At 41.7% G+C, this 27,867-nt stretch overlaps 1 protein-coding gene and 1 non-coding gene across 9 annotated transcripts in view; both read left to right on the forward strand.

Moving 5' to 3' along the window:
- Positions 1–27,867, forward strand: part of ERI1 (exoribonuclease 1) — a 97,208-nt gene that overhangs the window by 25,532 nt on the left and 43,809 nt on the right. For 5 of the 8 annotated variants that reach the window (XM_005272401.4, NM_001354636.2, NM_153332.4 and 2 more), the window contains one exon: positions 1,364–4,910. The exons of 2 other annotated variants lie outside the window; for them this stretch is intronic. In XM_005272401.4, the coding sequence (XP_005272458.1) occupies positions 1,364–1,606 (243 nt within the window). In that variant the 3' untranslated portion in view covers positions 1,607–4,910. Of the gene's footprint in view, positions 1–1,363; positions 4,911–27,867 lie in introns of those variants that run through there. One more of the 8 variants, XM_011543849.3, reaches the window with a different exon arrangement.
- Positions 20,017–20,090, forward strand: MIR4660 (microRNA 4660). The gene has a single exon (NR_039804.1). It is a non-coding gene; the product is annotated as a microRNA 4660 (primary transcript).

Genomic DNA, 27,867 nt, shown 5'->3' on the forward strand with positions numbered 1-27,867 from the left:
TTAAGATAATTATAGGTGTTTTACATCATTTGCTTTGTGATTATCCCAGTAACCCTATGAGTAAATATTAGAGCTGTTAGTCCCATTTTACGGATGAAGAAGCTGAGGTCCAAGATGCATAGGCAAAATAGTTGTACAAACTACAGAATGTAAAACTTAACAAATCTTGATAGAAATATGAAGAAAATATAACAATTTTTTTTTTCTTTTTTTGAGATGGAACCTCACTCTGACGCCCAGGCTGGAGTGCAGTGGAGTGATCTTGGCTCACTGTAACCTCTGCCTCCCGGGTTCAAGGGATTCTTCTGCCTCAGCCTCCCGAGTAGCTGGGATTACAGGCGCACGCCACCATAGCCAGATAATTTTTATATTTTTAGTAGAGATGGGGTTTCACCATGTTGGCCAGGCTGGTCTTGAACTCCTGACCTCAGGTGATCCACCTGCCTTGGCCTCCCAAAGTGCTGGGATTACAGGCGTGAGCTACCACACCCAGCCAATAATTCTTAAAAGTGGAGGCACATATTGGAATTTGGGGAGTGTGAGAGTTTTTTTTTTTTTTTTTTTTTTTTAACTTATCAAGGAACAGGTTTTTAAATAACCTGAAAAATACCACACCACATCGTCTTTCATTCTTAATCTTCATTATCTTTAGCCATCCAAAAAGGCTAGTCTTTTTATCTAAGAAATCAGTCAAGTAAAGTAATACACTATAGAAAAATACCATGTAAAATAACTAACTTGGTTTAAAAATAAAAAGGTAGATCTTCAACTTACATGTCCTGAACAATACATTCCCTTTAATAAATTATTTTTAAATTAAAAAACTGCAGAGTTTTTAGATGTCTGAGGATCCTGTCTGTATTTTCAGCTGAAACTCTTAAGATCATATTTTAAAGCTCTGAAAATTTCAGGGTTTTTTTGATGGAGTCTCGCTCTGTTGTTCAGGCTGGAGTGCATTGGCATGATCTCAGCTCGCTGCAGCCTCCACCTCCCAGGTTCAGGCAGTTCTCCTGCCTCAGCCTCCCAGGTAGCTGGCATTACAGATGTGCACCACCACGCCTGGCTAATTTTTTTGTATTTTAAGAAGAGATGGGGTGTCACCATGTTCGCCAGGCTGGTCTCATACTCCTGACCTCAAGTGATCTGCCCACCTTGGCCTCCCAAAGTGCTGAGATTACAGGCGTGAGCCACCTTGCCTGGCCTGAATTTTTTATTTGCCTTATTTGAGTGGGGGTATTGCCCTTTGCCTAGCTTTATTTAGCTGTTAGTGCTAATTTTCAGTTTCTTATTTTTCATCTTAACTGTGGCTTATATTACAGTTTAGAACACCAAAGAATTATTTACTAAGCTGTTTATTTTTCAGGTTCCTAGAAGCCAAACCAAACTGACAATAATGCTTGAAAAATTAGGAATGGATTATGATGGGCGGCCTCACTGTGGTCTTGATGACTCTAAGAATATCGCCCGAATAGCAGTTCGAATGCTTCAGGATGGGTGTGAACTCCGAATCAACGAGAAAATGCATGCAGGACAGCTAATGAGTGTGTCCTCTTCCTTACCAATAGAGGGCACTCCACCACCACAAATGCCACATTTTAGAAAGTAACAACAGTTTTGTGTGTGGATCATTCCAATTGAAGTTGCTATGAAGAGGTAGCAGATGAATCTCATTGAATTAGTCCTGTAGTGCAAACTTTAAGCACCTTAAAACATTTAAAATCTTATTACAGGTGATAGAGATAGATACATGTATGTGAACAGATTTTGTAGGAAGGCATACTGAATTCTTTGTCACCAGCACTTTTGATATGAACAGTATTCGTTACATAGTAACAGTTCCTGCTTACAACTGAATTTTATAATTTAAGGTGTTCAAGATATATTCTTTTTGGTTTTAAAATGCAAAATCTTATTGGCTGTTCTGTTGAATGTCATATCTTACTGGTGTTTAAATATGTAATGTGTTTCTTTATTAACATCACTAGATGAAACCATATCTTAAAATGCAGAAATGATTGGAAGGTAGATCTTATCTAGCCTTTGGATTTCAAGAATATCATAGTCCTTTTGATTTTCAAAGTTTATATGTGAAGTTCACCATGTATGTGGTGAATTTCGTAAGGTACTTGGTATACATATCTGCCTATGTTTCTTTTCAACTCATAATTGGAAGAATTATGATGGATTATAGGGTTTGGTTAAAAATCCAGTTACTGAAGGAATTAATGAAAACGTAGAAGAAAGTACTAAAAGGAATATCATAAGGGCTGTAGCTCAAACTTCATAATACATAAATCACTGGGGTCTTTTTGGATTTGGTTGTTTGATTCGCCTTCCTTTTTTGACATATGTATGCCTTAATTCTTAAATCTGAGGGACCATGCTTTGAAATAGACTGAAAATTAAGGGTCACCACCTAATTTTACTTTGTATTCAGTATCGTAAGTGAGGTTAATAAAGTCAATACTTTCTACCATATATTACGTTTTTGTTATTAAAAAACTTCATTGGCCACTAGTGAAGTTAGTCAATAAAAGACTTGTTTTTCTGATTTTACATAGTAAATGGCTGCTAAGTATTGAGTAATTCTTAACTAATTCTAAAAACTAAAATGTGCATTTCGACTTGATAAGGTAAAACTCTTATCTAGAGGCTAAACCCATGTATTTTCAGAATTGAATTTTTCTCCTTGTAGCTTTCAGGGAACAATTTCATTGACATTGCTTGCTTCCTGCCTTTTACCTTTTAATAAAAATTGTGATGCTACTTTATTCTAAAGATTTATATTTTATAACCAGATGAATTTCCTCAAAGGTTTCCAAACCTATATCATATAGGGTGAAAAGCAGGAAAGTAGACATTTTTCTTGGCGTGGGAATTCTCTACATAGGGCAGTAGATTTCTTAAGCCAATGAATTTCTGCTTTTCAGCAGTAGTCATATAATCAGTATCATAAAGAATAATGTGTAAATAACAGAAGGCATATGAGAGTGTGGTGTTCCTAGATGAACTGTTACAGATTATAGTAAAATAAGGAAATCTAAGTGCTTTAAGTTTATACAGTTAACTCTTAGGATAAGAGGGATGTATGCTGAGATGTTTGTGCATCCCAGATAGCACTGTACAATAACCTGTAAAGTATTACTGAATACTGAATAGCTGAAACTGCAATTGGAAAATCTGATGATGACGAGGAAATATTACGTTTCCAGTTTTTTTAGCTCTATCTGCTAATTTCTTTGCCTGTTTTCACTTTCGCCAAGTACCAACAAGCTCATGTTGTATTTCTTTTTAAGAACTTCAACATTATAAGCTCTCAGTACCCTATTTTGTTGTTGTTGTTGTTTGAGACAGAGTTTTTGCTCGTCTGCCAGGATGGAGTGCAGTGGTGCGATCTTGGCTCACTGCAACCTCCGCCTCCTGGGCTCAGGTGATCCTCTTGCCTCAGCCTCCTGAGTAGCTCAGATTACAGGCGCGTGCCACCACACCCGCCTAATTTTTGTATTTTTGGTAGAGGCGGGGTTTCACCATGTTGGTCAGGCTGGTCTTGAACTCCTGACCTCAAGTGATTTGCCCACCTTGACCTCCTACAGACGTGAGCCACTGCGCTCAGCCATAGATTTTACTGTCTTAACCCATTTTAATTCCTCTGTTGAGTCTCTGTCCTCCCCTCCAATTTGATTTGGGATTTTGCTGATGAGATGATACTAAACATTGAGAGTACTGCTTTTTACTCTGACTTTTATTGTGTTGTCTTTGAAAGACAAATAGTACAACTTTTTACAAGGAAACACGTAAGAGATGGATGTCCATGAAAACAATATTAGTATATTCTATTATTGTTTCTTATTAATAGTTACTTAGTATTTACAAACAATTTATTATTAGCTGTGTTAACTTTTATTCTATGCTTCATATGCTCTGACATTGACATAGTGGATTTCTGCTGATTTTTTTCAAATCCGCAATCTTTATAACCAACTGAAGTATATAATAGAGCATTACATTTTATCTTTATTTGTGTTCTGTTGGATCAAGTATTTAACATTTGCTCTGAAAAAAATGTTTTTGTGATGTGTCTTTGTTGCCTTGAGATAGATCCATTTATCCTGCCTCCTAGGGAGAAGTTTCTGCCTGGATTGAAACAAAAAAACACAGGCGTCACAAGCATGTTACCTATTAAGAGAGAGAGGGTATCTCTGAAGACTAATTAAAATGGTAATTTTTAAAAAGATGTGACCAGTTGACTTTTAGTATATCATCCCAAGTATTATCCCCAAAATGATAATGCAAAACAGAATAATTTGGAGACCAGGAGAAAAACTGGTATGATTACTGGGGAGGGGAAGAAGCACAGGTGGTCAAGATAATAATGCATGTTTGGCCTCAGCTGTAGTTGCCAAAGAAACTACCTGCCTCACAGATGAGCACGCACGGGTGCATTGTCAAAGTCTGAGAAGGATGTATTGTACTTTGAAGGAAGACTTTCCATTTCTAAGCTACCATGGAGAAGTATATGCTCCTCGAGACCAGAGACTGTGACTTCTGCATCTTTGATTCCAGCGACATATGATAAAATGTTTTGCACATAGTTGAATCCAGCGTTGATACATGAAGGACAGCATTACATCTTTTTTCTATTATACTTAGAAATTTCCTCTTTGTTCTGCACCACCAACCTGTATATCAAGCCTCCTTGCCCCACAAAGCTTCCAAAGCCCGTAAATTTGTTAATCTAGAGCAGGGGTCAGCAAACTACCACCCATGGGCCAAATCTGGCTGCTGCCTATTTTTGTATGGCCTACAAACTATGGTTTTTATATTCCCTTTTGTTAATGGCTCAAAATAATATTTTGTATAATACGAAAATTACGAAATTTTAGTTTCTCTAAATAAAGTTTTGGAAAGAACTACCATTCTCATTTGTTTTCATGTCATCTCTGACCACTTTTGTGCTACAATGGCAGAGTTGAATAGCTGCATCAGTGGCACCATCTGGCCAGCAAGGCCAAAAAATACTACTGTCTGGCCCTTTATGGAGAAAGTTTGCCTACCCTTACCTCCCTTATGTAATGCAATATATAAGTTCCATCAACAAACAAGAAATGCGACTGTGATGAGAGCGTAGAGCTGAATGTTAAGGTACAATGATACTTGCATCAGACATTTATGGAGCACTGTTAAGTACTTTACTCCATTGTTTAGTAAGAATCTGGTGATGGAGAGAGGCATTCTCTGCAGTTTACAGATGGGAAAGTTGAGGTCCAGAGCGGTTAAGTTGCCAAAGTTTAAGTAGTGGGAGCTGTAGATTCTGGCAGTATGGCTTGAGCCTTGCTCTTTATCTCTGTGCTATGCTGCCTCCCGTTGTAGACTTTGGCTTAACCTGATATTCCAGGAACAGGTAGGTTGTCCTAGGTAGAATAAACATCTTCCTGTATGGTTTAAACTAGACATTTTCAATGCGATTGTACTAAATGTTGCAAATCAGGAGGTAATTTGATGTTCATTCTTTGAATGAAACAATATAAAATACTGTTAACTTCTAATGTGACCAGCTGTAAGGTTTTTTCGGAGATGGGGATAAGTGGAGAAGGAGAACGATTTTTGCTTTAAAATTTCCTCCATGTTCTTGAGATTAGAAATGTTAGTGTCTTGAGTTTATAATGACACAGAGGCTAAAGGGCTTAAGTTTGACTGATGAAGAGTTGGAAGTACTTGTTTTTCTGGATTCCTTACCAAGACTTGGGTAAGGGGCGGATGCCCGAGGCTTTAAACCAGATCTGCTTTTCTACTTGCAAGTGAATGTTCTCAAGGTAAATTTCATTAGATTTGTTTTAGGATGAATACTGCTCAATCATTGTGGAGCCACAAGGCATGCTTCATTTTATTGCACTTCTCTTTATGTGCTTCGCAGATACTATTTTGTTTTGTTTTGTTTTTTAACATACTGAAAGTTTGTGTGAATCCTGTGTGGAGAAAGTCTATTTATGTCATTTTCCCAACAGCATACTTTCACTTCATGTCTCATATTTTGGTAATTCTCCCTATATTTCAAACTTTTTGATTATTATTATCTCTCTTAGGGTGATTTGTAATCAGTGACTTTTGATGTTACTATCATGGTGGTTTTGGGGCACCACAGACCACACCCATATAAGACAACGAACTTAATTGATAAATGTCTGTGTTTTCCCCATCGCTCCCTCTCCAGACCTACCTATTCCCTGAGACACAATATTGAAATTAGGGCAATTAATAAGCCTACAGTGGCCTCTAAGTGTTCAGGTGAAAGGAAGAGTCACATGTCTTCCACTTTAAATCAAAAACTAGAAATGATTAATCTTAAAGAGGAAGGCATGTCAAAAGCTAAGACGGGCTGAAAGCTATGCCTTTTGATCCAAATTAGCAAAGTTGTAAACCCAAAGGAAAAGTTGTTGAAGGAAATTAAAAGTGCTGCTCCAGTGAGCACACAAGTGATAAGAAAGCAAAACAGCCTTATTACTGATATGGAGAAAGTTTTAGTGGTGTGGATAAAAAATCAAACTGCAACATTTCCTTAAGCCAAAGCCTAATCTAGAGCAAGACTGTAACTGTCTCATATTCTGTGAGGGTTGAGGGAGGTAAGGAAGCTGCAGAAGAAAAATTTGAAGCCAGCAGAGATTGGTCCATGAAATTTAAAGAAAGAAGCTGTCTCCATAAAACAGTGCAAGGTAAAGCAGCAAGTGCTGATGTAGAAATTATAGCAAGTTATCTAGCTAAGATCTAGCTAAGTTATCTAGCTAAGATCTAGCTAAGATAACTAATGAAGGTGGCCACACCATACAACAGGTTTTCAATGTAGATGAAATAGCCTATTCGAAGAAGATAACATCTAGGACTTTGATAGCTGGAGAGAAGTCAGTGCTTGGCTTCAAAGCTTCAAAGGACAGGCTGATTGTTGTTAAGGGCTAATGTAGCTGGTTTAAGTTGAAGTCAGTGTTCATTAACCATTCTGAAAATCCTAGGGCCCTTATGCTAAATCTACTCTGCCTGTGCTCTATAAAGGGAACGGCAAAGCCTGAATGACAGCACATCTGTTTACTACATCATTTACTGAATATTTGAAGCCTGCTGTTGAGACTTAGTGCTCAGGAAAAAAAAAAATCTGTTCAAAATATGACTGCTCATTGACAATGCATCTGGTCATCCAGGAGTTCTGATGGAGTTGTATAAGGAGATTAATGTTGGTTTTAATGCCTACAAACACAATATCCATTCCACAGCCCATGGATCAAGTAGTAGTTCTGGCTTTCAAGTCTTACTATTTAATAAATACATTTCATAAGGCTGTAGTTAGCATAGGTAGTGATTCGTCTGATGGATCTAGGCAAAGTCAGTTGAAAACCTTCTGGAAAGGATTCACCATTCTATTCTGAATGCCATTACAAGCATTTGTGATTCGTGAGAGGAGGTAAAGATATCAACCTTAACAGGAATTTGCAAGAAGTTGATTTCAGTCCTCATGGATGACTTTTAGGGGCCCAAGACTTCAGTGGAAGAAGTCACTGCTGATGTGGTGGAAATACCAAGAGAACTAGAAGTGAAGATGTGACTGAATTGCTGCAGCCTCATGATAAAACTTGAGGAATTACTTCTTACAGATAAGCAAAGAAAGTGATTTCTTGAGATGGAATCTATTCCTGGTGAAGATGCTGTAAACATTCTTGAAATGACAGCAAAGGATTTAGAATATTACATAAGCTTAATTGATAAACCAGTGGCGTGGTTTGAGAGGATTGCCTCTAATTTTGAAAGAAGGTCTGTGGATAGAATGCTATCAAACAGCATGATAAAGAGAAATCTTTTGTGAAAGCACAAATATCAGTTGATGGAGCAAACTTCATTGTTGTCTCATTTTGAGAAACTGCCACAGCCACTCCAATCTTCATCACCTACCACCCTGATCACTCAGTAGCCCTCAACGTTTGAGGCAAGATCCTACACCAGCAAAAAGATTATGGCTTGCTGAACACTCATGATTGTTACCTTTTTCTAGAAATTTAATCTTTAAGGTATATATGTATTTTTTAGACATAATGCTTTTGCACACTTCATAGACTATTGTTTAAATTTAACTTTTATATGCACTGGGGAGCCAAAACATTTGTGTGAGTTGCTTCATTGTGATACTCCCTTTATTGCAGTGGTCTGGAACTGAACCTGCAGTATCTCTGAGGTATGCCTGTATATAGTATGATCAAGAGCAAGTTTAGAATACAAGTCATTTTTTTTTTCTATTGAGTAAAAGAACAAAAGAGGAGCAAGGTTGTGATTTTCTGTTTGCTAATGTAGTGTGGCACACCATCACTGGTGATGGCAGATTGATGGAGGGCAGCGATTGAGCCTTCCCCTTGAAGTGTCCATTCTTGCTTGCCGACTCTGCACCTTTGAACATAGACCTGTTTTCCCTTTGGATTTATTTTTGTCAGTGGGACCATGATTATCACAGTCACATAGGATTGAAACCATGAAACTCATAGTCCCTCCCTCCCCCTTTTAGCACAATGTCCTTTATTGTCCAGTCACTTTATCCTCACCCCAGCCTCTGTTATCATCATTGCTACACAGACTATTGCTAAAATTTAACAGACTTCTCTCTTGCTGTCTCTTCCTGTATACCACTGTCATAAAAAACCTTCCTAAAATGTTGCTTTGCACACTGATCTCAGAAACCTTCACATTTCTGATGGGATAAAACTCAGCTCTCTGTTGGCATATAAGAACCTTCACAGTCTGATTTCTGTCTGCCAACTTTTACAGTAACCATCTGCTCTAGGGTAATAGTTACTCCCCTCACCATCACACTCGCGTTGAGTCGCATGTGCACCATCCTACTTCTGTCCCCAGGAAGTTAGCCCATCAGTCTTATTCTCTTGATTCTGTTTTGTTAAAGACCTGCTGTGATTTCAGCCTTCTTCCCAGACAGCCCGGACCTTTGGCAACAACTCCCTCTATTTGTTCATTGCACTTTTGTTACATTCATTGGGCCCTTCATTTGTGCTGCAGAGATTCATATGTACTGTATTGTTGGGTTTTTTTTTTTTCTGTTTCCCCAACAGGAGTGTAAATTATTCAGGCACAGGTTCTTACTTGTATCTCAAGAACCTAAGACACAATGGGTGCTTAGTTAAAAATAATTAGTGATGGTAAAATGTATCTTGTAAGGTTAGTACCTGTTCCTGAAATTGCAAAAGGTAGCGTAAGTCCTGACTGCCGTGATGAATGAGTTACTGTTTTGGCAGAGTTACAGATAGGAGCTATCCCCTTTCCTTTTACTGTGCACCATAAATAAATTTTTAGAGGCTCTGTCTCGAGTAGAAATGTTTAATCCCTGTCTATGCTTGACTTTCCCCCTAGGTGCCAGGAAAAGCAAACAAATGTTAAGCTGTCCTTCCTAGTAGTTCAGTCTGTACATTGCTGATTTAAAAAAAAAAAAAAAAAATCTGCTCCAAGTATCTTTGGCCTTGAAAAAGGTCATTGGTTGCCTTTCCTCTGTGTTGAGCACTGATTTTTCAAACTTTTTTGCACAAGTACTCCCTAATACTTGAAAAAAATTGTTTGAAAAGGAAACTGTACCTATTTGCACATTTAAAGCTATTCCTAAGTTCATAGTATAAATATTGACATTTAAAACAAAACAGGCTTCATTATATAATCAGTGGAGTCTCCATACCATAGAAATTTAGTACCATCATCTGCATAGAAAATACATAAAGGCTTTTAAAATTCCTCTTTCTCCTGGAACTTCTATTTTTGGTGCAGTTCTCCCACAAGGTTTTATTCTAATGTAATACAGTAGTCCCCTCTTATCCGTGGTTTTGCTTTCCATAGTTTCAGTTACCCAAGGTGCAGTAACAAGATATTTTGAGAGAGGGAGACACCACATTCACATCCAGTTTTCATGTTATAGCTTGTCATCAGGTTTTACTCTGTATTTTTCTGCCTGAAAGTCATTGATCATACTATCATACATCTTTGTAACAAGTGTATATACATTTAAAATTATATATGGCTGAGTGCAGTGGCACATGCCTGTAATCCTAACACTTTGGGAGGCTGAGGTGGGTGGATTGCTTGAGCTCAGTTCTGGACCAGCTTGGGCAACATGGTGAAACCCTGTTTCTACAAAAAATTCAAAACTTAGCTGGGCGTGGTGGCACAAGCCTGTAGTCCCATCTACTTGGGGGGCTGACTTGGGAGGATTGCTTGAGCCCAGCAGGTGGAGGCTACATTGCACGGAGATCTATTTATTGTGACCGTAAGGATGTGTGAAGTTTCTTCTATATTTACTCAGTCATTTGCATAATGGATCAAGATGTAAATATATTAAAATTTTTGGAAATACTTTAATGAGATAATGTTTTTACAATTAGTTTATATATCTGGATTAATATGACATTGCTAGAATGAAAGGGGGTCCAGCATCAATTCTATAGCTTTACCTGAAAGGCTTTTACTCAGTTCTTTAATTTCCGTGACAAAAATCACATTGTGATCTGTGATGATAAATCATTCTTCAGCTGACAGCATGATTAGTTTCTTGTTTATTTTTGTTGAAAACAGAATTTTTGAAAGGTGCCTAACTTTTAGAAGTGTTTACTTAGAATTTACTCGTTCTTATATTTGGGGATGTAAACCCAAAGGGCTTTACCAAGACTATCAAATAATTATTCATTATACCTGTTACTCTTTAACCTAGAAAACCTTTATTTCAGTATATTCATAAAGGGTTGGGAAAATCCAACCTGTTACTTTCAAAACACCTTTTAGGATATAATACTCTTGGCACAGTTAGTGCTTTAAATATATTTTTATTATATGTTTCGTCAAAACCTTGGAGCTACAGATTTAGTCATTCATTTCATGATACATGTTCATCATATAATGAAATCAAGCAAAATATCCATGTCATGAATCAAATCAGACTGACTTTGTCAGAAAAAGGTCTGGCTTGAAAATTCAGGTTGTGTTACTGAATTTTGAACATACAAAAATCATTAAAAACCATCACAGAACACCTTTTGTAAATGATTAGTGAAAACAGTCAAGATTTAAAATTTCCCTTATTTAACTTATAACAAGTCGCAGTCATCTGTGGCAAAAACAAGTTATTTAGGAAGCAAGTTAGGTTGATGAAAGGCAAGATATTCTTTCAATATAGGTGTGTACGTATATTGAACTAAGGTATTTGGCTTTTGGCAGAATTAAGAATCAAATAAAATTCTTTAGTGTTAATAATATTAACTTTTACTAGGATTACGCTTTTCCTATAGAATGTTATCCTGCTAAAAACTAACTGGCAGATATCTAGAACCTAATTTATTTTCTGTTAAGAGGTAGTAAATATTTCCCATTTCATAAGATGAAGTAGATTCATATTTGACTGTATTTGGAGTAAATATTTCACAAAATGATTGTGGTCAGTTTTTTTCATTTTTTGTGAGCAGTTTTGTCTATAGGTTTTATTCAGTGCCTCATGAAAATTCTGATAGTCCTGAAAATTATTCCAAGTACAATTAAAATATTCAGCATCACTAAACTCTTTTTGTTTTGACTGTCCAAGGGTATTTTTCCTTCCAGTCAATGATTGTTCTGTGGATGAGTTTTTAAATAGTTGAAAAAGTAACTTAGAAGAACAGCTGTTTGTAGCAGTCAGTATTTCTCACCGATGCTTGCTGCTTTTTGCTGTTGGGGCCTCCACCAAGAGTGATTTATTTCTTGACAGGAGTCTTGGAGAGGGAAGTGGCCAATTTGTTCAATAAAAATCATTACTTTCACTTTACCACATATTCACATTTTGAATATCCTAACAAGTCCCCAAACATCCCCATTTCTAAATCCCCTTTTACGGAAGTTTAGAACGGGGAAAGTCACAAAGCCCTAAGGCCTTAAGCTGACTTGAGACTTTCCGGGTGGTAGGAGGCTTCTGCTTTGTTCTCTGTGTTCGCTAACGCCTTGGGGCAGCAGTGCCAAGTGAGCTGGGAAGGTGAGTGGTGTCTTTGTTTTGTAGAACGGAAGAAATAGTGTGGATGCCACGGTTTTGCTTTTGTTAGAGGGCTGTATGAAAGCTCAGAATTACCTTAAATTCCAAATTAATTAGGTCATCCTGTAAAATTACCCTTGCTGAGGCACCCCTTAGAAGGTTTCAAGGTGGCCCTAGGGTTAGACATATCCCACATGAAGACCTCTGGTCCAGTGTTGAAAATTTCTGTTATTTTTGTATGTTAATAAAATGTTTTCATCAGTAATATAGTGTGTGTGTGGGGGGGGGGTGTGTGTTAGTTCACATTTGATAAGGTTCTTGTTTAGGACTTCCTTAGCGCTGACAAAACGAACTTAGACTTTTGTAAGGAGAGTGGAGCACAAACCTGCCCCTGCCTCATTGTCAAGAAGCCTCTCCATCAGCCCGCCAGCACCAAGCCTTTTGAGTTCCTTTAGATAAAGTCAGTAACACCTGGGTTAGCATTATTCCCACCTCGGTCTAGTGCTTACTCAGTCCTGGGCCATGCTGAAATTGCATGCATACAAGGTATAGCGTAATGAGACCGTTTTCAGTGCAGACAGCTGAGCCCCCAGGCACTTGCTCCGCTGAGTGTTTCAGCGATTACGCTGCACTTCTGCTCGCCTGCCTAAAACGCATGAAGAGTACAGTGGGGGAACAATGAGCATGACTTTTGTTCATTCTGTGTGTCTGGTGAGAAAAATGTGGGAATTCCAAGCAACAACGTATTAGGGATGATTCTGGAAATTCAGGAGAAACAAGTAAAATACAAAGAAACCTTAAGTCGTAAAATTTATGTTAAATCCTACATTCCTTACTACAGGCAACTTCCTTGTATTCTCCCAAGAGAGAATACAAGGAAGGTAGGAGAGTAGGAGGGGGAGCTTTTAAAAATCAGGTGTGTTGAGGCATACACGCTCTTCTCATCGGCACATGGAACATTCTCCAGGGTTGACCATAGGTTAGGACACAAAACAAGTCTCAAGAGCTTTTAAAAAATCGAAATTGTATCAAACATCTTATCTGACTACAACGGAATTAAACTAGGCATCAGTAACAAGGAACATTCAAAACTAAACAAACACGTGCAAATTAAACAACATGCTCCTGAATGATCAATGGGTGAAAGAAGAAATTAAGAATGAGATTTAAAACTTCCTTGAAACAAATGAAATAGAAACACAGTGTACCAAAACCTATGAGACCTAGCAAAAACAGTATTGAGAGGCAAGTTTATAGCAATACGTGGCTGCATTTAAAAACTAGAGAGATTTCTTTCTTTTTAGACAGAGTTTCGCTGTTGTCGCCTAGGCTGAAGTGCAGTGGCGTGATCTCGGCTGACTTCAACCTCTGCCTCCCGGGTTCAGGCGATTCTCTTGCCTCAGCCTCTCGAGTAGCTGGGAATACAGGCATGCACCACCACGCCCAGCTGATTTTGTATTTTTAGTAGAGACGTGGTTTCACCATGTTGGCCAGGCTAATCTTGAACTCCTGACCTTGGGTGATCCTCCCACCTTGGCCTCCCAAAGTGCTGGGATTATAGGCATGAGCCACCGCACCCAGCCAAGAGATTTTTAAATGAACAACCTAACAGAGTACCTCAAGGAACTGGAAAAGCAAGAACAAACCAAACCCACCTGGGGGAAAGAAATTAGATGTAGTAGAATAAGATAAGCATTAGGAATTCCTCAAGGCCAAGAGAAATGTCTGCACAGAAAAGAGAAGGAACTTGGAGGCTGCATTGCCAGAATGCCTCACCCAGCGTATGTTTTGTACGCTGTGTCCTTGGTCCTCCCTTTGCGATAATTTCTCTCTGTGGCACACAAGATTTCAACTATCCCTTCTCTGCAAAAGGTTCCTAAAATCTATTGCCCTGATCTCTCTTTTGAGATCCAATTTCTTGAGTATTTCATAGGTGTCACCAGCGTTTTAAATTTTATACATTAAGAAACAAACAGATGCTTATTTCCTCAACTGCTACGCCCTCTCCCGCCTCCAACACACACACAGCCTACTCTTGTGTCACTCAAGTCAGGGAACACCCTCCCATTATACTCAAATCTGCCAGTTCCCTGTTCTTTGAGGAGGTAGCGTCATTTGTCACACCGCAGGCCTTCTGGGGCTTTGTGGCCCTGGAGGAAGCCTAGATGCGATGGGTCCTTGTGTCCAGAATGAAAGTTAGCTAACAAAACTGGAGGGAAGTGTTATGCTTTGAGGAGGTAACACAGGTTGAGCATCCCTAGTGCGAGAATCAGAAACGATCCAAAATCTGAAGCTTTTTGAGTGTTGTCATGATTTCGGATTAGTGATGCTCAACGAATAAATATCAATATAATACGGATATTCCAAGATCTGAGAAGATTCAAAATCTGAAACATTTCTGGTCCCTAGCATTTCAGAGAAGGGATGCTCAACCTACACGTGCACCTGCTTCAGTCAGTTACCCTGCATGCTCCCACGCGCAGTGCCGTATGTCCCCCGGCACATGCTCTGCAGTCTGCAAGGATCTGGAGAAGAAAGGTGTGGCTGCACTTCCTGGCAGTAGACACTTCATTTCTGCTGTTGGAATAGATTGTGTTTGATTCTACTCTTACGTCTAAGGGCATCTCTTTAGGTTTCTGGCCTTGGAACCATGCTTGACTGTGGAAGGGGTACATAATTCGGATTTATTTTTAAGGTGTTATTCTACTTCTTCGTGTATAATTGATGCAAACCATTTCTGACATCCTTCAAAACACTTGTGTCTTCTTGAAACTCCCACCTTTAAGACAAGCAATGAGTGTGTTTTTGTGTGGCTCAGATATGTAGGTGAAACCTGTGTATGCAGCACCCTCCCCCAACCACCCAGTTTCAAGCCCAGCTTTTGTGACGCTTTTGTGACTCAATTATGAATAATCAGAGCTGTGCCTGGACCCCATCATTCTGTCTTACTTTTTACATTCTTCACCCAAGCATGTAGAGGCCAGGCCTAAATCAAAGAGCTCAGAGGAAGTGGTGGTTCTTTGGAGTTCAGGAACATCTCTTATGGAAGATGGAGACAATTGTGGAGAAATCTTTTCATCATCCATGATAGGCAGATGAGATGCAAATAGGCCTAGACTCACTTTGGTAGAAACTTTTAAATAGATAGTTCTAGAAAATTATTATGTATTTGGTATTCCATGAGAGGTTGGGCAATTTTGGAAGCTTTTTTAAAGTTCAGTCCAGTGACACACTATCCATAATTGTGTTGTTTATTGGAGATATTATTTTTGTTTTATTTTCGTTGGAGACAGGGTCTCACTATCTTGCTCAGGCAGAACTTGAACTCCTGTGCTCAAGCCATCCTCCTACCTCAGCCTCCTGAGTAGCTGGGACTACAGGCCATAATTGTATTGTTTATATTCAACAAAGAAATATTTACTGAATATTTAATTCTAATTGAGAAAATAAGGCATAAGCAGGGAAAGATAGTTAACAATGTAAAGTAAGTTTCAAAAGAGGCCTACGGTGTAGCATGGTGTTTAAGGCTATAAGAGATTGGAATTAGACCTGGGTTTAGATCTTGGTTCTGAGACTTACTGGTGGTGGGACCTCAGCAAGTTACTTAACCTTTATGAGCTCCCAATTTTCCTTACAAAACTCTTCATAGGGTTGTTGTCGGAGTTAAATAGGATATCATCTGAATTATGGGTAGTGAATTACAGCTGATTTAGCGAGGGTATCAGAGTAAGATAAAACATCTTCAAATAAAACATCTTCAAAATCCATCATGGTGCGAAAGGATGTCCTTGTTAGCATGGCATGCTGGATGCAGGGCAACAAGTCTAGAGCTCCTTACATTTTCTCTGATTAGCGGATAAGTGATCCCGGATCCTGGAATGGTGCTGAGATTGTTGAAAGAAGCGAGGTGACTTTGGTGTGGGAATCAGGAGGATGTGAGGAACAGAAGGGAAGCCAGCGACCAGGTCAGCAGACACATCACTGCGTCAGTTCAGTAGGAGAGTTCACACTGGCCCCCATACAGGTAGGTCTAGTTAGCAAATTGCCAACTACCCATCATCAACTGGAGATGATGGAGAAATAATTACAATCCATGATGTGGCCAAAGTACACAGAGGACAGTGTAGGAGCAGAAGCAAAGCTTAATGGACTAGGGGGTCAAAGAGGGCTCTTTCAGGTGGAAACACAAGCTAAGCCTTGAAGAACAAATCATGACATTAGAAAGAGAAGCAATCGTTTACCAAGCAGCAGACACAGCATGTTGAAGAAACAGAAACACAGAAACATGAAACACCACTGGAGTCTCCAAGACGGTATTTTCCCAGTGGAGTTCTCCTTTTCCTCAATGTGCAGATAGAGATTCCAAACCTGCCCTTGACTCTCACCCTGACCTGCCACACCTGCATCATCATCTTGCTAACACTGAGCCAGATTTCACATGGTGAGAACTGTTCTGAAATCTCGCCTTAGAGTCCTGACCACGAAGCCCTTAAGAGTAGTAATATTGCCAGGCGTGGTGGCTCAAGCCTGTAATCCCAGCACTTTGGGAGGCCGAGTCAGGCGGATCACGAGGTCAGGAGATCGAGACCATCCTGGCTAACACGGTGAAACCCTGTCTCTACAAAAATACAAAAAATTAGCTGGGCGTAGTGGCGGGCACCTGTAGTCCCAGCTACTCTGGAGGCTGAGGCAGGAGAATGGCGTGAACCAGGGAGGTGGAGCTTGCAGTGAGCAGAGATCGCGCCACTGCACTCCAGCCTGGACGACAGAGTGAGACTCTGTCTCAAAAAAAAAAAAAAAAAAAAAAGTAGTAATATTACGTTCAGCCCTAAGCTGGCTTCTCAGATTTCCACTAGACTGGTTCTACAGCCAGTGCTCTGTAGGGTAGGGACTTCCCCATCCCACTTACGTATACTTGCACTGAAACGAATTGCTCACTCCAGCTGTATAGGTCTAGCCTCCACGAATAGATAGCTTAATAGGCAGGCTCTCATTAGACTTTAGTAGAAACATTCATGGATACCAAAAACTGTGTTTCAGTGGCTCTCAAATCTGATGTATTGACCCTGGGCATGGTGGCTCATGCCTGTAATCTCAGCTACTGGGGAGGCCAAGGCAGGAGGATCACTTGAGCCCAGGAATTTGAGATCAGCCTGGGTAACATAGCAAGACCCCTATTTGTATTAAAATATAAATAAATCTAATTTATCATCAGAATCTATAGAATTTTTTTTTTTTTTTTTTGAGATGGAGTCTCACTCTGTCACCCAGGCTAGAGGGCAGTGGCACAATCTCGGCTCACTGCGACCTCCACCTCCCGGGTTCAAGTGATTCTCCTGCCTCAGCCTCCTGAGTAGCTGGGATTACAGGCATGCATCACCACGCCTGGCTAATATTTTTGTATTTTTAGTAGAGATGGGGTTGCACCGTGTTGGCCAGGCTGGTCTTGAATTCCTGACCTCAAGTGATCCACCTGCCTCAGCCTCCCAAAGTGTTAAGATTACAGGTGTGAGCCACTGCACGTGGCCATATCTATAGATGAATTTTTAATACAGAGTCCCAGACCCCACTCAGAGATTCTAGGGGGCGGAGTTGGGCCTGTGTTAAAGAAAATTCATTTAAAAATTAAATTAAGAAAACAAATTCCCACAGGTAACTGTGATCCTTAGATCTGGAGACCTTGGCTGAGAGGACCGCTGCTGGGCCATCAGCCATCGCCATTGGTCTTGCTGATGGAATGTGACCAGTGAGGTTCTCTGTCCTGAGAAGCGGTTCTGAAAGATGCTAGTTCTTCTGAGCATATCTCTTGAGTGGCAGTGATGAGTCTGCCCTCCGAGTGACAGTGACATTTCTCCTTGCAGCCTGGCAGTAAAAGCCAGTCAGCAGAGAGAGACATGAGCAGCACATATGCGAGACTGCCTAGAGGAGATGAGGCAGAGCAGCCCTGAGACCTCTGCAGTTCCTGAGGCCACACTGCACACGGCCACACTCCTCTCCTTGCTTCCATGAGATGCTCCTTTATTTCTTTGAGAAATTCCCCTCTCCGGCTAAGGACAGCACAAGTTGGTTTCTGTTACTTGCAATTAAAGAGCCCAGTGACTACGACTCTTACTCAAATAGCATCCCTAAAGAACAATGAAGGGACACACTTTAAACATGCTAGGTATGAAATATCAACTTTCTCCCCAAACAACTCTGGAAATGAGCTCTTGCTCAGGAAGGAAAAAGCAAAAACACCTTTACTATTGAGTCTTTTATGCAGCTATTAGCTTGGTACAAAGAACATCCCCTTAGGAAAAGAGAAATTCAAGATGCTGTCTGGATTGGAAGAAATGGAAGAAAGCAGTGGAAGTTCCACTCTCACAAGCAGGGCCCACATCGGCCTCCCCTTGGGAAGAGGAAATACAATCAGTTTTGTGGCACAGATGAGCTCCAGGCAGAGCCAATTTCACACACGCTGATTGCAGCCTGTACCTTCTGCCTCACCCTCCGAATCAGCCTGAGGCTGGCAGAGGTCTGTGAACTGGGCTGAGATTTTTTTGACCTGTTAGGTTTTAGCATATGGCAGAAACAATCAATACTGCCCAAGAACCGAATAAAGCACGGCTGTTCCCAACAGGGAAAACAGGCAAGCTGCTCTTTCCCAGAAGGAGCACTCCTTGCCAAGCCTGCATGCCCTGACCATCTTCCTGCACAGGGCACTTAGATATTCACCTACTTAGGAAACACATTCCAGCCTCTAGCCACCATCCCACACCTAAAAATCAAACAGAGACATTCATCTGGCTGGGGACTGGGAGTTTATAGCAGTGCCTTTCGGGTGAGTTGGTGAGCTCAGCTAGTGGTGGCTTACTCCACTAATTAGCCTGTGGCCAGAAAGCCACTTAGGCTAAGGAGCCCTTCTCTGCTCACTTCTGTGGCCACAGAGTGGTCCCTGGGCCTAGCCAGTCAGCTGGCTGGCAGATGCTTGCCACTAGGAGATGGGAAATGGGCTGCAGAAGTTCTGAAGCTGAAAATGTCACCTGACCAGCCTGGGCAACATAGCAAGACCCCATCTCTAAAAAAAAAAAAGTTTTTAAAATTAGCCAGGCTAATTTTTACACACCTGTACACAGGTGCATATCTGCAGTCCCAGCTACTCAGGAGGCTGAGGTGGGAGGATGGCTTGAGCCCAGGAGTTTGAGGCTGCAGTGAGCTATGATAGCACAATTGCACTCCAGCCTGGGCAACAGAGAGAGACCCTGTCTCTTAAAAAGAAAGAAAAGGAGAGTGAAGCCTGCATCTCTCCCTCCCCTCTCCCCTTCCAACAGAGCAGTTCCACCTATACCTATTTATTAATTGAGCTTCCTATCATTTTGTTTGAAGAAGGGATTCATCACTGCTAATACTAATCGTTCACGCTGTGTGTTGGGGTGCACGAGTGCACACACGCCCACCAGGCACCATGCCAGGTGTTCCAGATGCCTTGGCTTGATCTCTTCAAACAAGTCCAAGAGGGAGATTCTGTTATTATGTCCATAGCACAGCTGAGGAAATGAAAGTCAACTCTCTTGTCCAAGGCCACAAAGCCAGTAAGTGGGAAAGCCAGGACTTGAACCTAGGTCCCCCAGACTCTGCAGCCTTTCTTGCATTGTCCTCTGGGAAGGGCCACAACCACCTGAGTGAAGAAAAACAAAGCCCAGTCTTTCTCTAAAGCAACTGTGCTCAACCTTGTCTGCGTACTGGAGTCATCAAGGAAGCTGCGACCAGCGCAGACGCTGGGCTGTCATCTCTGGAGGCACTGATTTGCTTCATCGATCTGAGAGCAGCTTGGGCATAGGGATTTGTTTTTTTTAAGACTGAAAATCACTGCATTAGGGAAGCAGTGATGAGAATTCAATAATTCGAATTACATGTCAGCACTGATGTGAGGGTTCAAGATAGGAATTTCCCTCCTGGCACATTACTCAATTGATAGTTTAAAAAACGTCCTTAAGAAGAAGAAAGACAGCCAAACTCCTTCTGCAGCTCTGGTGGAAAATGGAGAAGACTTTTCCTTTCCTCCATCTCCCCCAGGGCCTGGTGGAGTGAGGCGTTGCCCAGCTATAAACTGTGGTCACTCTTCTGGTGGGGCCAGCAGATAACAGCTGATGTGTGAAGGAGGCAGGGAAGGACATGGGGAAAAGGTCCAGTGGAAATCAAAGCCCATTGTCATAATTCTGTCCTTTGTTTTGAGACAGGATCTTGCTCCGTTGTCTAGGCTGGAGTGCAGTGGTGCAATCATAGTTGACTGCAGCCTCAATCTCCCTAGCTCAGGTGATCCTCCCACCTCAGCTTCCTGAGTAGCTGGGACCACAGGTACGTGCCCCTGGCTAATTATTATTATTTTTATTTTTAGTGGAGATGGGGTCTTGCTATGTTGCCCAGGCTGGTCTTGAACTCCTGGGCTCAAAAAATCCTCTCCCCTCAGCCTCCCAAAGTGCTGGGATTACAGGCGTGAGCCACCGCGCTCGGCCAGCATTCTGTTCTTTATGCACCCAGTCCAGGATCAAGATAGGTGGAGGTGAGCGAGATGTAAATGCAGCCGTCCACATAAATAATGTTTGAATGCCATCTTTACAAAGGGCAGCTGGGCGCAGTGGCTTACACCTGTAATTCCAGCACTTTGGGAGGTCGAGGTGGGCGGATCACCTGAGGTCAGGAGTTCTCAAGCTTGGCCAACATGGTGAAACCCCGTCTCTACTAAAAATACAAAAATTTGCCCGGCGTGGTGGCGGGAGCCTGTAATCCCAGCTACTCAGGAGACTGAGGCAGGAGAATCGCTTGAACTGAGGAGGCAGAGCTTGCAGTGAGCCGAGAGCACGCCACTGTACTCCAGCCTGGGCGACAGAGTGAGACTCCGTCTCCAAAAAAAAAAAAAAAAAAAAAAAAAAAAAGAGCAACATTAATGCAAAAAAATTAATGGTGAAAAAAAAATGTCAAGTATTGAAATATGGATAGCATCTGACAGGGTTGCTGAGGTTGGGGTGAAGGGAGTGCGGGGAGTCCTGCAACTAGACCTTTGGATCTTGTCTTTATTTGAATTTTGTGGATTTTTTGGCATTAATTTTGACTTTAAAAAAAAAAGCATGAAAATATTATTTTTCTTAAATTGTGTGCCTAACAGTGAGTCCCAATAAATACTTCCTTTAGGAAATACTTAAAGGAGTTAAACAACTTTTGACTTGCTGATCCTTCTGCATTGAGGGAGGAGACATCTCAGAAGCATGCCCTTTGAAAAGTATCAGAATACTAGGCATCCTCCTGTGCCTCCCACAACCCCCGCAAAAAAGAATACTAGCCCTCCCAAAGGCCGGATGGGATTTCTGCATCAAAGAGAAGACATCAACGGAGAGATAACCTAGTCATTCAGAGGCCGCAGGTGAGGAGAGAGGGACAGTGGACAGCAATGCCCAGAGAAGGCAATTTGAGTGCATGACCATCAGCCCATGCCAAGGGCAGCCTGCAGAGTTCCTCCCTCTGTTGATTCATTTGGCTAGGATGAGTTCTAGACCTGAACACGTCCTCCCCATCATACAGGATTACCCACTGTTACCTTGGTAAATTAACCTGTTTAACCTTCGGCTCCCTGGTCTGTAAGATAGAACTAATACTATACCCCTCACAGTGATGTTTTAAGGATAAGTGAGGTAGAATATATATAAAGCACTTTACAGAGTGCCTGGTACATTCTAAGTGGTCAAAAAAAAAAAAAAAGATAGCTATTTTCGCCTTACTATTAGATTTTCTAGGTCAAGGCTGGGCGCAGTGCCTCACACCTATAATTCTAGCACTTTGGGAGGCAGGGGCTGGTGGATCACTTGAGGTCAGGAGTTCGAGACCACCCTGGCCAACATGGTGAAACCCCATCTCTACTAAAAATACAAAATTAGCTGAGCGTGGTGGCACATGCCTGTAATTCCAGCTACTTGGGAGGTTGAGGCAGGAGAATCACTTGAACCTAGGAAGTCGATGTTGCAGTGAGCTGAGACGGTGCCATTACACTCCAGCCTGGGCAACAAGAGTGAAACTCCATCTCAAAAAAAAAAAAAAAAATTCTAGGTCTGTTCTTGAAGCTAGAACAGAAAAAGAGATTTTCTAGGTCTATTCCTGTCTGAGTCCTCATTGGGAACGTTTCACTGCTGACTGATAAGTCACCAGAGTGTAGGCCAAGCCAGTGAGCTTTGATGCGTATTAATATAAAATCTGGGAAATTGTCCCTAAAATGAGTCAGAGTTACGGAAGGAATGGAGAAGCCTGGATTCCGGTCTCAGCTTCAGGACTTGTTAGCTGTGGGAACTTAGGTCTATCCCACCACAACTCCGGGCCTCTTCCTTCTTTATGCAATAAAAATAACAGCATCATTCCTATTGCTCTTCTGCTGTGGGGACCAAAGAGATAATAAGGTGCAAAAGTGACTCAGGGCAGCACCTTTGGATGGAAATGAGCTTTGTTAAGGCGTTGTTCTTTCAGTGGGCTCATTTCTTTGTCTGGGCTGGTTCATCTGGTTCTGATCCTGAACTTAATGATCTTTGGAGGTAGATTCTTTATTCTGGACTTTAAAATGATAGCAGAAAGAATTAGCTGAAAGTAACAAATTATTATTTAAAGTAGGTACGATAGATATTAGTTCTGGTATTAATTATATTACTTTCCCATAGGGAATTGGAGGTATATATGAATATATATATGTATGTATATATGAATATATATATATATGAAAAGGAGTTTATTTCTTACAGTATGGTGGCTGAGAAGTCCACGGTTGAGGGACTGCATCTGGTGAGGGCCTTGTTGCTGGTGGGGACTCTGTGGAGTCCTGAGGTGGCTCACAGCATCACATGGTGAGGGGGCTGAAACTGCTAACATGCTCAAATTGGAGGTGTTTTTAAGAAGCATGACTAAGGGCTGGGCGTGGTGGCTCATGCCTGTAATCTCAGCATTTTGGAAGGCTGAGGCAAGCAGATCCCTTGAGGTCAGGAGTTCGAGAACAGCCTGGCCAACATGGTGAAAGCACATCTCTACTAAAAATACAAAAATAAGCAGGGCATGGTAGCATGCACCTGTAGTTCCAGCTACTTGGGAGGCTAAGGTGGAAGGATCACTTGAACCCAGGAGGCAGATGTTGCAGTGAGCCGAGACTGTACCACTGCACTCCAGGCTGGGTGACAGCGCTGAGACCCTGTCTCAAAAAAAAAAAAAGAAGCACGACTAAGGGAAACGCCTTCCTCTTGGTCCTGCCTAGAACCACTTCTTTAGTTTTTCTGAGTTTGTATGTTTAGATCTTTGTAAGTGTCCTATGTAGTTATACATTTTCCTTGATTATGAGTTTGAATGATCACTTCCTTTTCTCAGGCGAATGCACTCACTTATGAGAATTTTCAGTCATTTGGACTATAATTGCTTAAACTTCAGACTGTAGCTGCAGAGTCGTTTTGTAGCCATCCTTAGAGAGTGAGTATGGTGTAAGGATTGAGAGCCCAGGCTCAGATGCCATGCCACAAAATAAGTGACCTTGCTCTGTTAAACGGGGGCATGCCAGCCCAGATCTCATAGGGTCGTAGTGAGAAATGAAAGAATTAATGTTTATAAAGTGCTTAAAATAGTGTTTAGTGAATAATAACCCTTCAGTAAATGTTAGCCGTTATTGTACTGACCCTATTTGTGTTAGCTCTTATTACACGGGTCTGCCCAAGGCTGAAACTTGGGGCTTATCCTCTATGGGACGTTTTCTGTGAGTTTCAGCTACTGCTCCTAGTACACTTCCTGGCAGTGTTTTTGTCTCTCTCTGTGTTCTATTTCTCTGCTTTCTTCCATTCTTCCGTGTCCATGGAAAGGACTAGATATACTTTTTTTTTTTCCAATAAATCCCCTTTAAGCAAAATTGAGTCAGGCGTCTCTTGCTACCAAAAGAACTGGACAAACTCCACTAGTTTGAGAACAGTCACCTCCTATTCTGGTGCTGATTGGTTGAACTCGCCTAGAGCACTGAGTCTCTGGGATTCTGGCAAGGTACCGTCACTGACACCAGCAGCATTCTGGGTAAGCAGCATATACCACTATTACCCGTGAACGAATCAAGGAACATGCTAGGTGCACACGTATGAAGGGACATCTTTTGCACACAGAACTGGGGCACAGTTGGCAAGGAGGTTAAATATGTTAACTTCAGGATACATTTAGGGAAACTGCAATCAAGAGATTTACCCAGAAAACACATTTCAGAACTATGGTATAATAAAAAATATGTTTGGTCTTTATCCCTGACTCCTGGCACTGAGCATCAAAGACCCTTGGAAATTTCCGAGTGGTTCGAATGTCTGTTGTTATACATGAATCCTTTCTGATCATAACTAAGTTTATGCTATTGAGGTGAATCAAGGTGGGCCCTTAAATAGTTTCAGGAGAGAGGCTGGCCACACTACAAAGACCAAGCTTATGATTAGAGGGTTGGAACTTTTGGCTCCACCCCTCAACCTCTGGAGAGAAGAGGGGAACTGGAGATTGAGTTCAATCACTAGTGGCTAATGATTTATTTATTTTTGTTTTTGTTTTTGTTTTTGTTTGAGACGGAGTCTTGCTCTGTCACCCAGGCTGGAGTGCAATGGCGCAATCTCAGCAGACTGCAACCTCTGCCTCCCGGGTTCAAGAGATTCTCCTGCCTCAGCCTCCAGAATAGCTGGGACCACAGGCATGCACTACCACACCTGGCTAATTTTCATATTTTTAGTAGAGATGGGGTTTTGCCATGTTGGCCCCACTGGTCTCGAACTCCTGACCTCAAGTGGTCCGCCTGCCTTGGCCTCTCAAATTGCTGGGATTATAGGCAAGAGCCACCGCGCCCAGCCAGTGGCTAATGATTTAGCTGATCATGCCTAAGTCATGACACCTCAATAAAAACTCTTGAGCAACAAGCTTCCAGGAGCTTCTGGGTTGATAAGCTCATGATGTGCTGGGAGGATGGCATGCCCAGAGAGGGAATGGAAGCTCCACAGCCCAGCCACTAGCCCCATACCTCGTCCTACACGTCTCTTCCATTTGGCTGTTCTTGAGTCGTATCCTTTATGGGAAACTGTATGTGAATCATCAATACAGTGCTTTGTTGAGTTCTATGAGTCACCGTAGTCTGTTAATGAACCTGAAGCAGTCATGGAAACTCCTCAATTTATAGTCAGCCAGGTAGAAGTGCAGGTAGCCTGGGGACCCCACTGGCCCTGGACGTTTTGTGGAACTGAGGCCTTGGTTTGTGTGATATGACAGTAACTCCTGATAGTACCAGAATTGAACTGTAGGACACCCAGTGAATGTTAGAGAATTGATGTTGAAACCCTAAGAACTTTGGAGGAACTGATTGTAAGAATTCTCTTCTGAAAAGCAGCCAAGTCCTCTATTGCCTCCAGAGAACCACGTTCAAATCATTGATAACAGAGTATAGTATTCTCTTTCTCTGCTTTCTTCCTCTCTTTGGTGGTTTTCAACAGGTTGTTTGGAAGTGAAAGGAAATATGTCTGTGATAGGGGGGTAAACAACACCCTGTGGCATTCAAAGTTCTAAGGCCTGATAGGCTAGAACTCCCATTTCCACATTCACATATGAAGTTGACCAGATTTGTGATTTATTCTGCTGAAATTCCCCAGAGATGGTCCAACTCTTTTACCATGGAAAAGCAACATCAGGGGATTGCATACATTAAAGGTGATATAAATTGTAGTGGGAATGGTGTTTTAGAGCACATTTTAAATAACCTATTTTGGACTCATGGCAGGCTCCCATTAGAAAACAGTTGTGAGGGCAAAATTATCCCCATCAAAATACATCAGTTATGTACCCACTTCGTCCTATTCGGCTGCACTTTTTTGTAGGATTCAGCTTTCCTTTTCTACAAATACATTTCTTCTCTTTTTTATACTTCTTACATTTTTGTTTCTATTCTTTATGTAATTGGAGTGAGGATTGTAGCGACAGAAAGGGGATGATCCCTTTCCTCCCCATCGTAAGGCTCACGGCTGACACCCCTACAACAAAAGACAGGAAAAAAGCACAACAAATTTATTTGATTCTAGTTTTATGTGGCACAGGAGGCTTCAGGATAAAGACCCAAAGACCCAGAGTAAACTATCCGTGTTTACATTTAGGTTCAAGGAAGCAGGGACAGCCACGTAGAAACGTGATTGGGCCAGGCACCATGGCCCACGCCTGTGATCCCAGCACTTTGGGAGGCCAAGGGGGGCAGATCACTTGAGGCCAAGAGTTTGAGATCAGGCTGGCCAACATGACAAAACCCCATTTCTACTAAAAATACAAAAATTAGCCAGGCGCAGTGGCGGCAGGCACCTGTAATCCCAGCTAGTCAGGAGGCTGAGACAGGAGACTCGGTTGAACCCAGGGTGTCAAGGCTGCAGTGGGCAGAGATCGTGCCATTGCACTCCAGCCTGGGTGACAAAGCAAGACTCTGTCTCAAAAATAAACAATAAATAAATAAAATCAACACATAATAAATAGAAATGTGATTGGACAAAAAGGGTATGAACTGTTAAAAGAAAAACTTCAGCTGAATTACATTTAACAGAGTTTAATTGAGTAAACAACAATTCGCGAATCAGCAGCTGCCTGAGCCAGAGTAGGCTCAGAGATGCCAGCACAGCCCCGTGGTGGAAGATTTGTGGACAGAAAAAAGAGAGTGACATACAGAAAACGGAAGTGAGGCACAGAAACAGGCAGATTGGGTATAGGTTAGTGTTTGCGTTATTTGAATGCAATTTAAACAGTTGGCCACATTTGATTGGCCAAAACTCAGTGATTGGCACAAGAGAAGACTACAGTCTATTTACAACTCCATTGAGGTTATAGTTCATGATGTGCTTTAGGTCAAACTTAAAATATGTAAGGAGAGAGCTTTAAGCCAAACTTGACTTAACAGAACTGATGGTAATAAACGGAATGGGGAAACCTAGCCAGGCTTGCCTGTTCAGATTCTTCTTGGCCTCTCGTTTGCAGCATTTCTTCTTCCTTGGTGTAGGGCAGGACCCCTCTGGAATGAGGGTCTTTATTTATGGCCGGCTGATACATTGACAGGTGGGGGAAGGTGAGAGTAATATTTTGTTGTTGTCGCCTAGACTGGAGTGCAGTGGTGCGATCTCGGCTCACTGCAACCTCTGCCTCCCTGGTTCAAGCCATTCTGGTGCCTCAACCTCCTGAGTAGCTGGGATTACAGGCACCCGCCACCATGCCTGGCTAATTTTTTGTATTTTTAGTACAGATGGGGTTTTGCCATGTTGGCCAGGCTGGTCTTGAATTGGCCTCAAGTGATCCTCTCCCTTCTCAGCTTCCCAAAACCCTGGGATTACAGGCATGAGCCACTGTGCCCGGGAGGAATATTTTTAAGCTTTATAGCTAGCTTTGAGGGAAAGGGGTTCTGGTTTCTATGACCTACCTTGGGGAAGAGGAATACTAGTTTCTGTGGCTTGCCTCAGGGAAAAATGAGGGGCAAGAGACAGAAAGGCAGGGGAAGGTCAGAGAGAAACTTCACTCCTAAGCCTTCACTTTGGGGCATCACTTTCTGAGCTCCAACATTGTTACTTGGATCCTAATTCATACACATCCCTCAGAAGCTCTGGGATCTCACAGGGTGCCTATGTGCTATGGGTTCCTGGAGCTTCGAGGAGACATCGTGAAGAAGAGTTTGGAAATGGAAAGGTTTCTGGGCCTTGGAGCTGTGATCCCCAGCTCCGCTGGAAGTGGAAGACACTGTCTCTGCGGATTTGGGATCAGCTGGATGGGGCACTCCCTGAAGTCAGAGAATGCAGGAGCACAGCTCTGTCCTGCTC

The sequence above is a fragment of the Homo sapiens genome, chromosome 8, assembly GCF_000001405.40.
Source record: "Homo sapiens chromosome 8, GRCh38.p14 Primary Assembly".
Lineage (NCBI taxonomy): Eukaryota > Metazoa > Chordata > Mammalia > Primates > Hominidae > Homo > Homo sapiens.